This window comes from Homo sapiens, chromosome 17, assembly GCF_000001405.40.
Source record: "Homo sapiens chromosome 17, GRCh38.p14 Primary Assembly".
Classification (NCBI taxonomy): domain Eukaryota; kingdom Metazoa; phylum Chordata; class Mammalia; order Primates; family Hominidae; genus Homo; species Homo sapiens.
The window spans coordinates 31,300,903-31,314,232 of NC_000017.11; the positions used below are offsets into that span (position 1 = coordinate 31,300,903).

Here is a 13,330-nt window from a genome sequence, read left to right on the forward strand (position 1 = left end):
ATGTCTTTACATATGTTTAAAGACCATTTAAATGTTTTCTCCTGTAACTGTCTTTTTAATGTTTTGCACTATTAAAAGTTGTGTTTTGGGTCTTCCCCTTCCTGCCCCATATTAGGAGCATTTTAAATTTTAGAGGTATTAGCACTTTGTCTTGATTTAAGTTTTAATTTTTTTTTCCAGTTTGCCATTTGTCTTTTGGCTTTATTATGGTGAGGTGTGTGTGTCTGTGTGTAATGCGCACTTGCATGTGTGTGATATTTAAAAGTTTCATATAATTTGATTTCCCTTTTTATTGCCTCTGGATTTTGAGTCTCAGCTAGGAAGGTTTTTTCCCGCTTCCAGATTATAAAGGAATTTACTCATATTTTCTTCTATTACTTGTATAATTTCATGGTTTATATTTAGAACTCTGGTCCTTGGTGTTCCAATATAGTGTGAAGTATGGATCAAATTTTTTCTTTTTTCCAGATGTCTATCCAATTGTTCCAATGCTTGTTTCCACTGATTTGATATTTATTTCTGGACTTTTTCTTCTGTTCCATTGATCTGTTTGTTTAGTCATATACCGGTACCACAGTGTTTTAGTTATAGGTTCCCAAAGGTGCTACTTTACTTTTTGATCAGAATTCAGTAAGAACAACAGTTAAAGATCACCCTCATCTAATTCATTTGTGTCCCTCACCACTGACACCAAATAGAAGACTTATGTGATATATGTATGTTTCAGTGCATGATGTAGGTGCTCTTTGGTCCTATATTAGTGAAAAGAGTGTTGAACCAATAGTCAGGGAGCAAACTCAGCTTTTAATACCACTTCTAAGCACATCACTTACTTTCTCTGGTCCTGTTTTCTCAGTAGTTAACAAACAAAAGGAGTTGAACCAAATGGTCTTCAGGGTTGTGTCTGACTCTGGTTAATGCTATTTTGGTTAAGAGCACCACTAGTATGTGGTGTGAACTTTAATCTACCTTTTATTCCCCTGTGCCTTATTCTTTTGCAGTATTCATGAAATAAACTTTCTCTTCTGGATCTTAGTTCTTTAATCTTTTCTCTAAAAGATTTTTCTTTGTTCCAGCATTTTCTTCTGTCCTGCATTTATTAGTTTGTATCTCTTCCTGCTGATTAAGCAAGGATTGCCACTGTTTGGCTGCTCAGCTTCCACTGACCTCACTGGGGAAAATTACATGCAGTTAAATGTGAATTATTCTTCCCCCAGCAAAGAATTTCTTTAAAAAAAATAAAAGGAAAAAAGACAACATAAAAACCCGGCTGCTGCCAGTAGTCTGTCCTGTTATACAAAGAACAGAAAGAGAAAACCTCCCTTTAAAAGTACTTAAAGATATCAGACAACACTGTGGTCAGCTAATCAGCTCCCGTTTAATCTAAGAAAATTGGTATTTCCCTATTTTTCCCTGTATTTCTTTCAGGAAAGAAGGTGGTAAAAAGGGGCAAAAATGTGGAACGAGCCCATTAAGTAACTGTCACAAATGTAAAATGAGAACAGTTATGATGATTTAAGGCATGTCAAAGACTTGGCCAAGTATAAAAACATATCTTATTTACCATAACAAAAATTCGTAAAATTAAAAAGAATAATAGGAAATTCTCAACTCCAGATTGCTGCTGGGGAAATTAGCTTTAAAAGTACTAAGTTTGGGCCGGGCACGGTGGCTCACGGCTGTAATCCCAGCACTTTGAGAGGCCGAGGCAGGTGGATCATGAGGTCAGGAGTTCAAGACCAGCCTGGCCAATATGGTGAAACCCCATCTCTACTAAAAAAAAAATACCAAAATTAGCCAGGCGTGGTGGTGCACGCCTGTAGTCCCAGCTACTCAGTAGGCTGAGGCAGGAGAACCCCTTTAACGTGGGAGGCGGAGGTTGCAGTGAGCCAAGATCATGCCACTGCACTCCAGCGTGGGCGACAGAGTGAGACTCTGTCTCGAACAAAAGTACTAACTTTGAAGAATACATGAAAGAAAATTTTTAATGAGGAAGACAAAAGATGTAATATGACAATAAGTATCATGCTTATTCAGGAAAAGTAAGAAGCTCAAGGAAGTGTTTCTATAGATTAAAAAATTAATGGTCAGTAAAGATGGCTTGAAAGATTTTAGGAAAAACATTGTATGTAAAATTCCTGTGTCCAAAACCCTACTGGTTCTTATTAAATATGGAGCTTTGTTAATGTCATGAATGCCAGTGCTATGAATAAATGCTATGTTCTACTCTGAAAATCCCAGAACTATGAGTGGTTCTCCAAGACTGGGCTACCATTTTATTCTAAGTGCTTGTTTCCCCCTGGAGTTAGATGGGACTAATGAGGAAGAATATGTGCTTGTTGGGCAAAGGAGCACTTCTGCAGACAAAGGCTGGCATCCCCAAAAGTATAGGCTGATGACCACTCTTGACTTTGACAAAGATTGGGCCCATTCCTACTCTAATAACTCAGACTTACCAATTGTCAGATAATGGATAAAGATGAAATTCTGTGTAAGAAAGGTGACTTAAGAGTGGATAGCATCAGAAAGTATAAGTTTAGTAAAAAGTTGAGAATCATCTGTGTTTTGATAGTCTCTTTTCCTGAAAAAAAAATCACCCAAAGTCACCCGTATTTAGAATGAAGCCATAGTCTTCTTTTCCTTTTTTTTGCTTTATAAAACTTGATTTTGTTTGGGTGTTTATAAAGAAGAAACTTGTAAAGATGCCAGTTTTAAAATTTGTGCCCCCCCAACATGGTAGGAAAATATTTACATTTTATGATGCATCCTCATATTTTTTTCAGGGTAAATGTTCCTAACCCAACCCTTCAGTTGATGTTTTAACATGTTTGTTTTACTCTTTGCAATGAAACCAAGAAGAAAATTTCTCTATTCTCAAACATGCATTTTAATCTCCCATTCCCACAAACTTGGAATATTTATTTAATACTTGAGGTATTAATTTAAAACTTGAAGCATATACTTAGTCTCTTATTCCTCTCCACCCTGGTCTTTGAAATGGAAACATAAAAGTTTATTCACCATAATTTTATACACAGCTTTTCAGGGGAAAAAAAACTGTACTGGGTAATAAGTATATGTAGATTGTTTCAGAGTTCTTAAATTATTGAAACATACCATTTACATATGTAAAATGTACTATACTTTAAAGATAGGTACTATAATTAGTAAATAGATTACTGTTAAATAACTTTTTTTAAAAAAAAGTTTCATCTATGCACATAGGCTCTGAGCAGATTTCAGATAGTTCCTGAATAAAAATCAAAATTGACTATCAGTTGCCATTTTATATATGTTAACATATAAAGAAAAAAGAGTCATTTGAGGATGGAAGATCAGCTAAAAAGCAAGTTGTAATATTTATAACAGTTCTGCAGGTGGAGGTGGCAGGGATTCATTAAGATCTTGATCAGAGTTGGGAGGAATAGAGAACTCCTGACACTGGATCTCAAGGTTGGAATCTTCTTGGTTTTTCATAAAATCTACTGGTGGCAGGGGCAAGTTAAGTGAGTCAAGCGGTGGAAATGATTGTATTATCTCAGATTTATGATCTCCACAGTCTTGATTGAGACAGTCCAGAGATGGAGGGAGACTAGTAGAATCATTTGGAAGAGGAGATACAATTGTCATTGTGGGTTTGTCAGATTGGTTACTTTCCTGTCCTTCCAAATCCAGAAGGGGAGGTGGTGGAGGCAGATCTGCATCATCTGAAGAAGAAACAGCAGTTCCAACTGTTGAACCATCAGCACTATCTTCTGATGTACCATTTACTTGATCTTTTATTTTCTCTGTTTTGGGGTTGTTGGAGTCTTCAATGTTTTCACTTGATTCAAACAACTTAATTTCTAAGTCATCTGCTAAAAGTGTGCTTTTGCTTGGTTTCCAGGGTGTAAGTGAAATGATTGATGTACGTTTTGTGGATATTTCATTTTCTCTGATGTTATCCATACAAATGTCAGGGGTTTCTCCATCAGCAAATGGAGATCTACCTGCCCAATTTTGATCATTTAAAACTGGTTTCCTTAAGCATTTCCAAAGTACAATGATGATTATAGCTACCAACATAGAAGTCAGAAGTACACCAATTAGTATGGCAGCTATTGAATTATAATTGTTTTTTTGTGGGGTTTGTTTGTTACTGGTAGTATCTAAGATAAATCCTGGTGTACTCCTAGGTGAATTTTTGACAGTTGATGTTGGTTGTGTGGATGGATTATGAACAGTTATTTGTTTTCTAGAAGGGATCTGGACAGATGATGATTGTTGAGTAAAAGTATAGACAAATGACTTTGGTGGTTGTGTGGTAGAAGTACGGGCAGATGGTAGTTGTCTGGCAGAGGTGAACACGGCTTGCTGGGAGGAGGTGTTGGCTATTGGTGTTGGTTGTTTGGTGTTGTAGGCAAGTGGTTGTCCAGCAGAAGTATGTGCTTCTGGTTTTTCAGAAGAGGTATAGACAGCTGGTGTTGGTTGTCCAGCAGTGACTTTGGCAGGTGATATTGATTGTCCAGAAAAAGTGTCGCTGAATTGTGTTGGTTGACCCAAAGGATTCCCTGTTGTGTTTTGAGAATTAGCCAATACCTGTGACATTGATGATGTGAATAAGGTAGGCTGTGACTGCTTCTCTGTTGTAATTGTCTCTGTCTTTGAAAAAAATGTATTGTTCAGGTGTCCACAAAACAAAATTAAGATGAAATATTTGGGATCCATTTCAGAATATTTCCTCGTTATCTATAGCGGGTTTATAATGAAAGAGAAAGACAGTTAGGCGTCATTGGTGTCTAGTTAAAAATTTGACTTTTCATTATGATTCCTGGCATAAAGTAGGTAGACATTATTCCTAATTAGTAGTAGTTGATTAGTAGTTATTATTCCTAATTTAGACTTGATACACTGTAGGTTTGGTGTAACAACTCTTGGATATACTCTAACCCATCATACAGCATTTGGACCTCATAAGCAGTGATCTCTCTTCTTTTATTAATACAAGTTCTGTACTTGGCTCTGCTGCCCCTCTAGCTTCATTATATTTCAGTACTTCACTTAGTCATACTTCTCAAAACGCATAGGCTCTATATGCTGGATCCATGTGTTCTCTACCTTTTTTCACCATTTTCTACTAGAAATATATTGATTCTCCTGCCTTGAAGAACACCAGTGATCATCTGTTACCTAATCTAATTGTTCTTTATTTCTTCTCTCCCCTCCCCTCCTTGACCACATTAGACACTACTGTTCCTTCACTAATATTCAAGTAGCTTTTTGTAATCAGTCTTCCTTTCATGTTACTCTCACTAGCTCTTTTTCTTCTGCCTCCTAAATATGGTTAATTGATATTCTGTCCTCACCCTTACCTACTTTTCTTTGTTCCTGATTCTGTAAGATTTTAGTTCTCAGCTTTATGCCACAATTCCTAAACCTGTACCTCCAGCCTACATCTTCTTTGTCCTAATTCTATTTGTGTGACTTCTTGGTGGATTTTTCCATATTTTATATATATAGATAGATAGACATAGATATAGATATAAATATCTCCCACTATCAGCAAATTCAACATATTTAAAATGGAGTTCATCTTTACCCTCACAACTGACAACTGACTCTTCTCCCAACTTCTCTGTATCTGTTAATGGTACCACTAAGTTTCTTAGGCACAGAGTCTATTAGTAATCTTTGAAGCATCCTTAGTGTCTCTGTAGCGTGGTAGCCTTATGTTAATATTGCATATTTTTAAAGAATTTCATTCAACTCAGAGTCTTAGGCTTAAAATCCTAGAGTGATCTCTGAATCTGGTGGAGTAAATTCAATCCAGTTGGTCAAGTAGTCCTGCTGCTGCTTTCATTCATCTATTGGTAAATGCCACATTTGTGTGGAGCTCTGTTCTAGGTTTAGGAGATTAAAAAAAAAAAAAAAAGATAGTCACTGCCTTTAAGTGTTTCAGATTCTAGTGATAGAAGCAAACAGTAAAGGCCAGGCGTAGTGGCTCATTCCTGTAATCCCAGCACTTTGGGAAGCCAAGATGGGAGGATCGTTTGAGGCCAGGAGTTCAAGAACAGCATGGACCACATAGTAAGATCCCATCTCTAAATAAAAAGAAGAAAGAAAAAAAGCTAAAAAATAATTACAATAATTTTTTTTTTTTCAAGACAGTCTTACTCTGTCACCCAGGCTGGAGTGTAGTGGCACAATCTGGGCTCACTGCAAATTCCGCTTCCCAGGTTCAACTGATTCTCCTCTCTCAGCCTCCAAGTAGCTGGGATTACAGGTACACATCACCACGCCTGGCCTATTTTTGTATTTTTAGCACAGACGGGGTTTCACCGTGTTGGCCAGGCTGCTCGAGAACTGACCTCAGGTGATCTGCCTGCCTTGGCCTCCCAAAGTGCTGGGATTACAGGTGTGAGCCACCACGCCTGGCCCAATTACAATAATTTGATAAGCTTTCTCATAAAAGTATGCAGGAGATGTACAGAGAAGTTAACCTAGCCTGGAAAGGCTTCAGTGAAGTAAAGCTTGAACTGAATTTTAAAAGTCTATAAAAACTAATTAAGTTTCCAGCCAGGGAGAGCAACAATGTGGGCACAGGAAAATAAGGCACATATGAAAGTTTGGCAGATAGGGCTTTTTCTGGGATGTGGTAGATGCTAAAACTTGGAGAGTTAAGTTTCAGTTCTACTTCTCCCATCTAACTACCTGTCTAACCATGAGAACTAGTTGCTTAACCTTTCCTGTTCTCAATTGCCTTTCCTCTAAAGTGAAGAGTTCTACTGAGACAATTTGCAACTTTTGGTATAATATACTTGTTTTGCACATCATCAAACACAATGGCAACTATTTGGTTATCTCTTAACATTAGGGAATAGAAAATCTTAGGGTGTTAGATATTGGTATACATGATTAGAAACTATAGTTCTTCTGACTCATAAGCCTATATTTAGAGAGATTTGATGTTCTGTTGGAAGGTGCAATAAAGGTTTTACAAATTACCTTTTCAGCATATCTAAACAGCATATCATTGCTTACTCCTCTACCACTTGGTACACAGTGATGATAAATGGCCCTGTTTTAGTAGAAGAAAAGATATGTGATTTTTTTCCCTATACGAATAATTCAAGCCTGAATTTTAAAACAGTTCTCCTTTGAACTCTCCTGCACACTGCTGAATTAATCTTAAAAGTGTGCATGATCAGGTTACTACTGCCTTGCTTGAGGGTTTAATTTCTGTTAAGATAAAACTTCCTTTTTCTTTTTTTTTTTGGAGACAGAGTCGTTCTGTCACCCAGGCTGGAGTGCAGTGGCATGATCTTGTCTCGCTGCAACCTCTACATCCTGGGTTCAAGCGATTCTTGTGCCTCATCCTCCCGAGTAGCTGGGACTACAGTAGGCATACACTACCACACCTGGCTAATTTTTGTATTTTTAGTAGAGACAGGGTTTCACCATGTTGTCCAGACCGGTCTCGAACTCCTGACCTCAAGTGATCTGTCCGCCTCAGCCTCCCAAAATGCTGGGATTACAGGCATGAGCCACCACGCCTGGCCTGTTAAGATAAAACTTCTAAATTGAGTTTTCTTCCTTCTGGCTTGAGTTAACCAGTCCAGATTCACGTATCATGACTGAAACTTCTTATCCAGCCAAATGCATCCCTTTCCCACCTTGCATACTTTCTAAACACACGATTTTTCCCTGCTAAACAGACACTTCTATGCTGTTTTTTACCCTTCTCAAGGGTGTTCTTTTTTTTTTATTTTTCTTCCAGACCTAGCCTCTTCCCCTTTCTGGCTGCATATCTGAATCTGTCCTCATCTTTCAGACCTCAGTTTAAATTCCCCTTCTTAACCCAAGTTCTCTGTGACTGACTACAGCCCAAACAGATCAGTCATTTACTGAATTCCCCCTAGCTCTCATTTATTGTTTTTATGGTTCCTTACATAATTCATGTATGTATCTCACTCACACTTCTATTCTCTTAAGTAATTGTGTTTACTTTTCACATTTTCCTATACCTACTTCCTTGAACAAGATTATAAAGAACCTTGAAGAAGGCAGAAAGGAGAAAGAAAAATACTTATCTAGAGCATATTATGTGTTGTACTATCCCAGTTTTGCATACTTTATTTCACAGAACCTTCAAATGACTTTATAAGGAAGGTAAAGGGATCCCTTATTTACAGATAAAGAGACAGTGTCAAATGAGTTAAGCAGTTTGCCTGATGTTATACCACTCGAAGTGACAGATTGGGAGTTTGTACCCAGGGCCACCTGATTCCAAAGCATACATTCTTTCTGCTACCCTTTATTGCCTCATGTTTTTATATTTTGATTTCTTTGTAGTTAATGCCTTATATATTAGGAGCACAGTAAACATTTAACCTGTATTGGGCTTCTTGATTCCTTTCCATTTTAGTTTTTGCTTTTTACTAGTACTTCTACCAGAAAATAAGCAGAGGCAGTGAAATCTGAGTTAATAAATTCTGCTTTTTATCCATTTTGCAAAAGATTTAAAAGGGAAAATTTGAACACTTTTGGCATAGATATAGGGATTTGAATAATCTCTGGATGGTCATCATCCATGCAGTTCCTACCCATTATTCTTATAGATTACAAAAAAAGGCGGGGGGACTTCTTTAGAAAATGTTATTCTCTTCAGAACTTCATTTTAAAAATCTGTTTTAATGCTATGCAAAGCATCAGAAAATATAAGCCATGAATTGTCTTTAGCCAAAAATGTTTCCTCTTTTGTGACTTTGCTTAAAATAAGGAAACCATACGGTTCCTCTTTTCAGTTAGCTGAAAAAGGCATTAGAGAAGGACAGGGCCCAAACAGGAACATAATTTTAAACCCAGGTTAGTTTGTAAGATCAATTTTGATAGGCTCCTATCCTCTACTGTCAGTAGTAAGCTGGTGGAACCCTCCATGTATGAGATTTTCACTTGTCAGTTAACGGTTATGGCAATATTAAAACCAAATTCCATTTTTTGCCTATCCTAACACTTTCTACCACTCTTCAGTTAGCTTTTTATCCTCCTAGGATCTGCCACATCAGAGTACTAGAAACTGTATTAGAATTCTATGATGGCAATTCAGTGTAGTCCAGAGAAGGAGAAGAAAGATTTAAAAGAGGAATAAATAGGGAATATGGTAGTGGAAAAAACTGACTTTTTTCCCAGCGGTAATGAGGCCAGCGTTACTACCAGTGTGGAAGGTTATTTAGCATACACATTTTAAAATATGTAAGTGGTGTGTACCTGAAGTACCAACATTGTTTCTGTAGGTAAAGAACAATATTGGGCAGGGGAATAAAAAGGAGATTTAGAATAATATAAAAGGCAATGCAAAGAAATACAAAATAACACAAAAGAGAAAAAACAAAAACTCTAGGAAGCAGCGAACAGAAAAGAGGAAGGTCAATTGACTAGAGAAGATACAGAAAAGAAGAAAAGTTAATAAACAGGTGAAAAAAAAAGCAGTGGTTATATAATTAGCAAGAAGGCAGTGTAGATGATTGAAGTAGGCAAAATGAAGTTGGGGGTGGGGGGAGATGATTGAAGTAGATGAAAGAAGCAACGGCAAAATGCTGCTCTGTTGTGGCTGGCCTGTGTTTGTGAGTGCAGGGAGACAGTAAAGAGGAGCTTGCTTTCTAAAATGGAGGACCAGAAGGAACCATCCTTTCAAATTCATTTACCTTTCATTTCAGGCTCTCCTGTCTGCTGTGAGTATCCTTACCATCCTCTCCCTTTTTTTTTCCCTGACACTATCCAGAAGCATACCTAGCAATTATTCCAAAGAACCCATGTACCCGTGTACGTTTTATATAGAGTTTTCCAGAAATCCCTTAGTCTGCTGCTCAAGCAAATTTGTCAGCCCTCATATGCCGGTTTTTACTCATTATTATAGGCTGGCACTTTGAGGTTTAAATCTGTGATTTTGGTTCTTTTTCTTTGCTGAATATTTAGAATATTTTAAAAAGAAAAACATAAATTTAAACATTTTAAAGACAGTTACAGTGAAGCAGGAGTCCCCGTGTATAAGACATGTTCTTTTTTTTTTTTTTTTTCCGTTTGGAGACAGGGTCTCACTCTGTCACCCGGGTTGCAGTGCAGTGGTGCAATCTCAGCTCACTGCAGCCTCTGCCTCCTGGGCTCAAGCGATCCTCCTCACACCTCAGCTTCCCTAAAGAAGTTAGAAACTGCAGGTGCACTACACCACGCCCAACTAATTTTTGTATTTTTTGTAGACATGGGGTTTCACCATGTCACCCAGACTTGCCTTGAACTCCTGGACTCAAGTGACCCACCCACCTTGGCCTCCCAAAGTGCTGGAATTATAGGCATGAGCCACCGAGCCCGGCCATAGACATGTTCTTATAAATATAATGCATAAGTACTTAAAGGGTCCAGCATTTAAAATTGATGCTGTTAAGTTGGATATGTTAGGAAGTATGCCATTATCTTTTAAAGAGAATCAAGATTTGGAGAGCATATCCTAGACAAAAGACAAGTATAGATAGCTGTATCAATTACTTTGATATAATAAAAGTTGTGATGCAAATATAATAGATTAAAATTTAGCAGTAGTATTATCTCTAACTAGTGAAGTTTTGAAACCGTAAAAGAAAAAACCAGCCATTCTGCATCTTGAGGAAAAGTGGAAAGAGAAATTGACCTTCAACTACAATAGGAAGTATTTGATGACCATCTTGTATCATGATAGTGACCATTTACTGAGCACCCACCAAAGGCTAAGCAGTATCCTATTTTAATTAGCTAGGTGGTGGTTTTTTCATCCTACAGATAAGGAAACTGAGACACCACGATGTTGGGTAACTTGGCAGTATCACAGCTCTAAGTAGTGGCACTAATACAAAAATCATGCTAATCTTGTGCCAGAACCGTTTCTTTCTATCACATTTCACTGTATGTGCTATACTGCCTTTCATAGAAAAGTTATGAAATAGAAATGCTTTATGAAGGAAGGAGATGTGAGTTGGTGGGAATTACACGTAAATAACACTTGTAGGTAGTCTTAGATAAAGGGTAGGAAAGAAATACCTGAAAACCCATTTTAGTCCTGATTCTACGAAAACTATTATAAGAATTTGGAATGGTTTCTATAAAGTGTCATATTTAGTAAGTTTACTGAAAATTTTGTGGTGATTTTTTTTTTAAAGCTTGGACATTGAAAGGCATCAGATTTATGTTTCTCAATTCAAACTTAATCAGAATTAAAGTTTCCTTCTAAGTAGAATTATGTGGGAATTAGCTGGAAAACACAGGCACTACTAGTAAACTTTAGATTTGGGACTAACCCTTTAAAAACATGTATGGGACCAGGCGCAGTGGTTCCTGCCTGTAATCCCAGCACTTTGGGAGGCCGAGGTGGGCCAATCACTTGAGGTCAGGAGTTGAAGACCAGCCTGACCAACATGGTGAAACCCCGTTTCTACTAAAAATACAAAAAATTAGCCAGGCGTGGTGGTGGGTGCCTGTAATCCCAGCTACTCAGGAGGCTGAGGCAGAAGAATCTCTTGACCCTGGGAGGCGGAGGTTGCAGTGAGCCTGTGAGCCAAGATGGTGCCGCTGCACACCAGCCTGGGTGACAGAGGGAGACTCCATCTCAAAAAAAAAAAAAAAAAGTATGGGATTCTATGACAAAAACACACCATAAGGATCGATGGGAAATTTTTTAATTTTATGAAATATGACAGTGAAAAAAATTTAATATAATTTTATGACTTTATGCATAATGAAATAAACTAAATATTAGAAGTAGAAAAATATATAGACAAGCCTAATCTGAAAAAGAGATAAATATCTTTATTTTCTGACTTCCACAGTAATTACTTAGAAGAAATCCTTCTAAGAGAAAGTCATGAATATTTATTAAGTGTTGAAATGGGATATCACCCACTATGAACATATTATTCCCTGAAATTACAAGTCTATGTAAAATACTCTTTGCAGTTTTTATTTGCCCATTTTACCCACAGCAAGCATCTTTTATGCATATTAACAATTTTCTATTGTTTATTCTATAGGTTTCTTCTATCTTATACTATGTTCTAAAGTCTCAGATAATGTGACATAAACACGTAGATGATATTAATATACGCATGCATGTTTGATTATTGACTAACATTTTTGGCTTAGTAAGCTTTTAAAATGAGCCATAATGTTTTCATGTCATCATTATTAAATATAAAATCTATATGTAAAAAATAAAGCATGTATAATAATAATAGTCAAATACCACATCTGATTTCTTTTTCTTTCTAAATTAAGTGAAAGTGACCATTCTTACTATGCAAACTAAAGGGGATACAAAAATTTTAATTTATGCATTATATTATGTACAGGAAAATTCTATAAAAAGTACATTAGAACTTTTAACAATTAATATTTTGGAGGTTATAAATTCAGTCATAGCCTGTGGAATCTAGTTCTATTTCTAACCCTTAGCTTTATCTGCCATGGCTATAGTTTCTTTTTAATTCTAAAACTAAGGTTAACAAATATGATTGTGGCTGGGAGCGGTGGCTCACTCCTGTAATCCCAGCACTTTGGGAGGCGGAGGTAAGCGGATCACCCAAGGTCAGGAGTAGGAGACCAGCCTGGGCAACATAGTGAAACCCCATCTCTACTAAAAATACAAAAAAATTAGCCAGGCGTGGTGGTGGGCGCCTGTAATCCGAGCTACTTGAGAGGCTGAAGCAGGAGAATTGCTTGAACCCAGGAGGTGGAGGTTGCAGTGAGCTGAGATCGTGCCACTGCACTCCAGCCTGGGAGACAGAGCAAGACTCTATCTCAAAAAAAAAAAAAAATATGTGTGTGTGTGTGTGTGTGTGTGTGTGTGTGTGTGAGATTAAATAAACTTAAAAGGTCTTATACAAACCTAGGTGAAAATATTTTTCTAAGGCAAGCTGAACTGAGTATTTTTTAATTCTATGCAACAAAACCACAAAAACCTGTTATAGACATCTTTAGACTATCAGAGTTTAAGTTTAAAACACTAATGACAGTTTTTAAAATAAATTTTATATAAAGCAAGATCAAACCAAATTGTGTGAAAATTTTCTTACCTCAGCTGTTAACTTCTTTTGCAGAATGCTAAATTCTTGTTCTAACTGGACATTTTGGTGATTTGGCTAAGAAAGGAAAATGGGTGGTTCAATTCAGATTTAAAATGTTCCTCTAGCAAACTGAAATAGTTTCTGTAGAAAAAGAGGAAGTTTATCAATAGCTGGTTCCGGAAGTGCAATAAACCACAAAGTGACTAAGAAATATATTACTTTAACAGAACTTATTTTGAAATACATTTTGGAGCCCTATGATT

At 37.0% G+C, this 13,330-nt stretch overlaps 2 protein-coding genes across 3 annotated transcripts in view, besides 1 other annotated feature; one reads left to right on the top strand and one right to left on the bottom strand.

Moving 5' to 3' along the window:
• The window catches only part of NF1 (neurofibromin 1), a 282,699-nt gene that overhangs the window by 205,926 nt on the left and 63,443 nt on the right, over window positions 1-13,330 (top strand). The window lies entirely within an intron of this gene.
• EVI2B (ecotropic viral integration site 2B) lies at window positions 2,868-13,152 on the bottom strand. The gene is made up of 2 exons (NM_006495.4): window positions 13,077-13,152; window positions 2,868-4,728 (listed from the first exon to the last, which is right to left on the bottom strand). Exon 2 carries the CDS (start codon window positions 4,705-4,707, stop codon window positions 3,361-3,363), a length of 1,347 nt encoding a protein of 448 aa, NP_006486.3. The 5' UTR covers window positions 4,708-4,728; window positions 13,077-13,152; the 3' UTR covers window positions 2,868-3,360.
• Window positions 10,300-10,379: an enhancer, noted in NCBI's record as "active region_12008". NCBI's record gives its function as "activates an Ori minimal core promoter by ATAC-STARR-seq in GM12878 lymphoblastoid cells {active_cell/tissue: GM12878}" and the evidence as "EXISTENCE:reporter gene assay evidence [ECO:0000049][PMID:35858748]".

Coding starts and splice junctions, on each gene's coding strand:
- EVI2B (NM_006495.4), bottom strand. CDS start 4,707: ATGGATCCCAAATATTTCATCTTAATTTTGTTTTGTGGACACCTGAAC.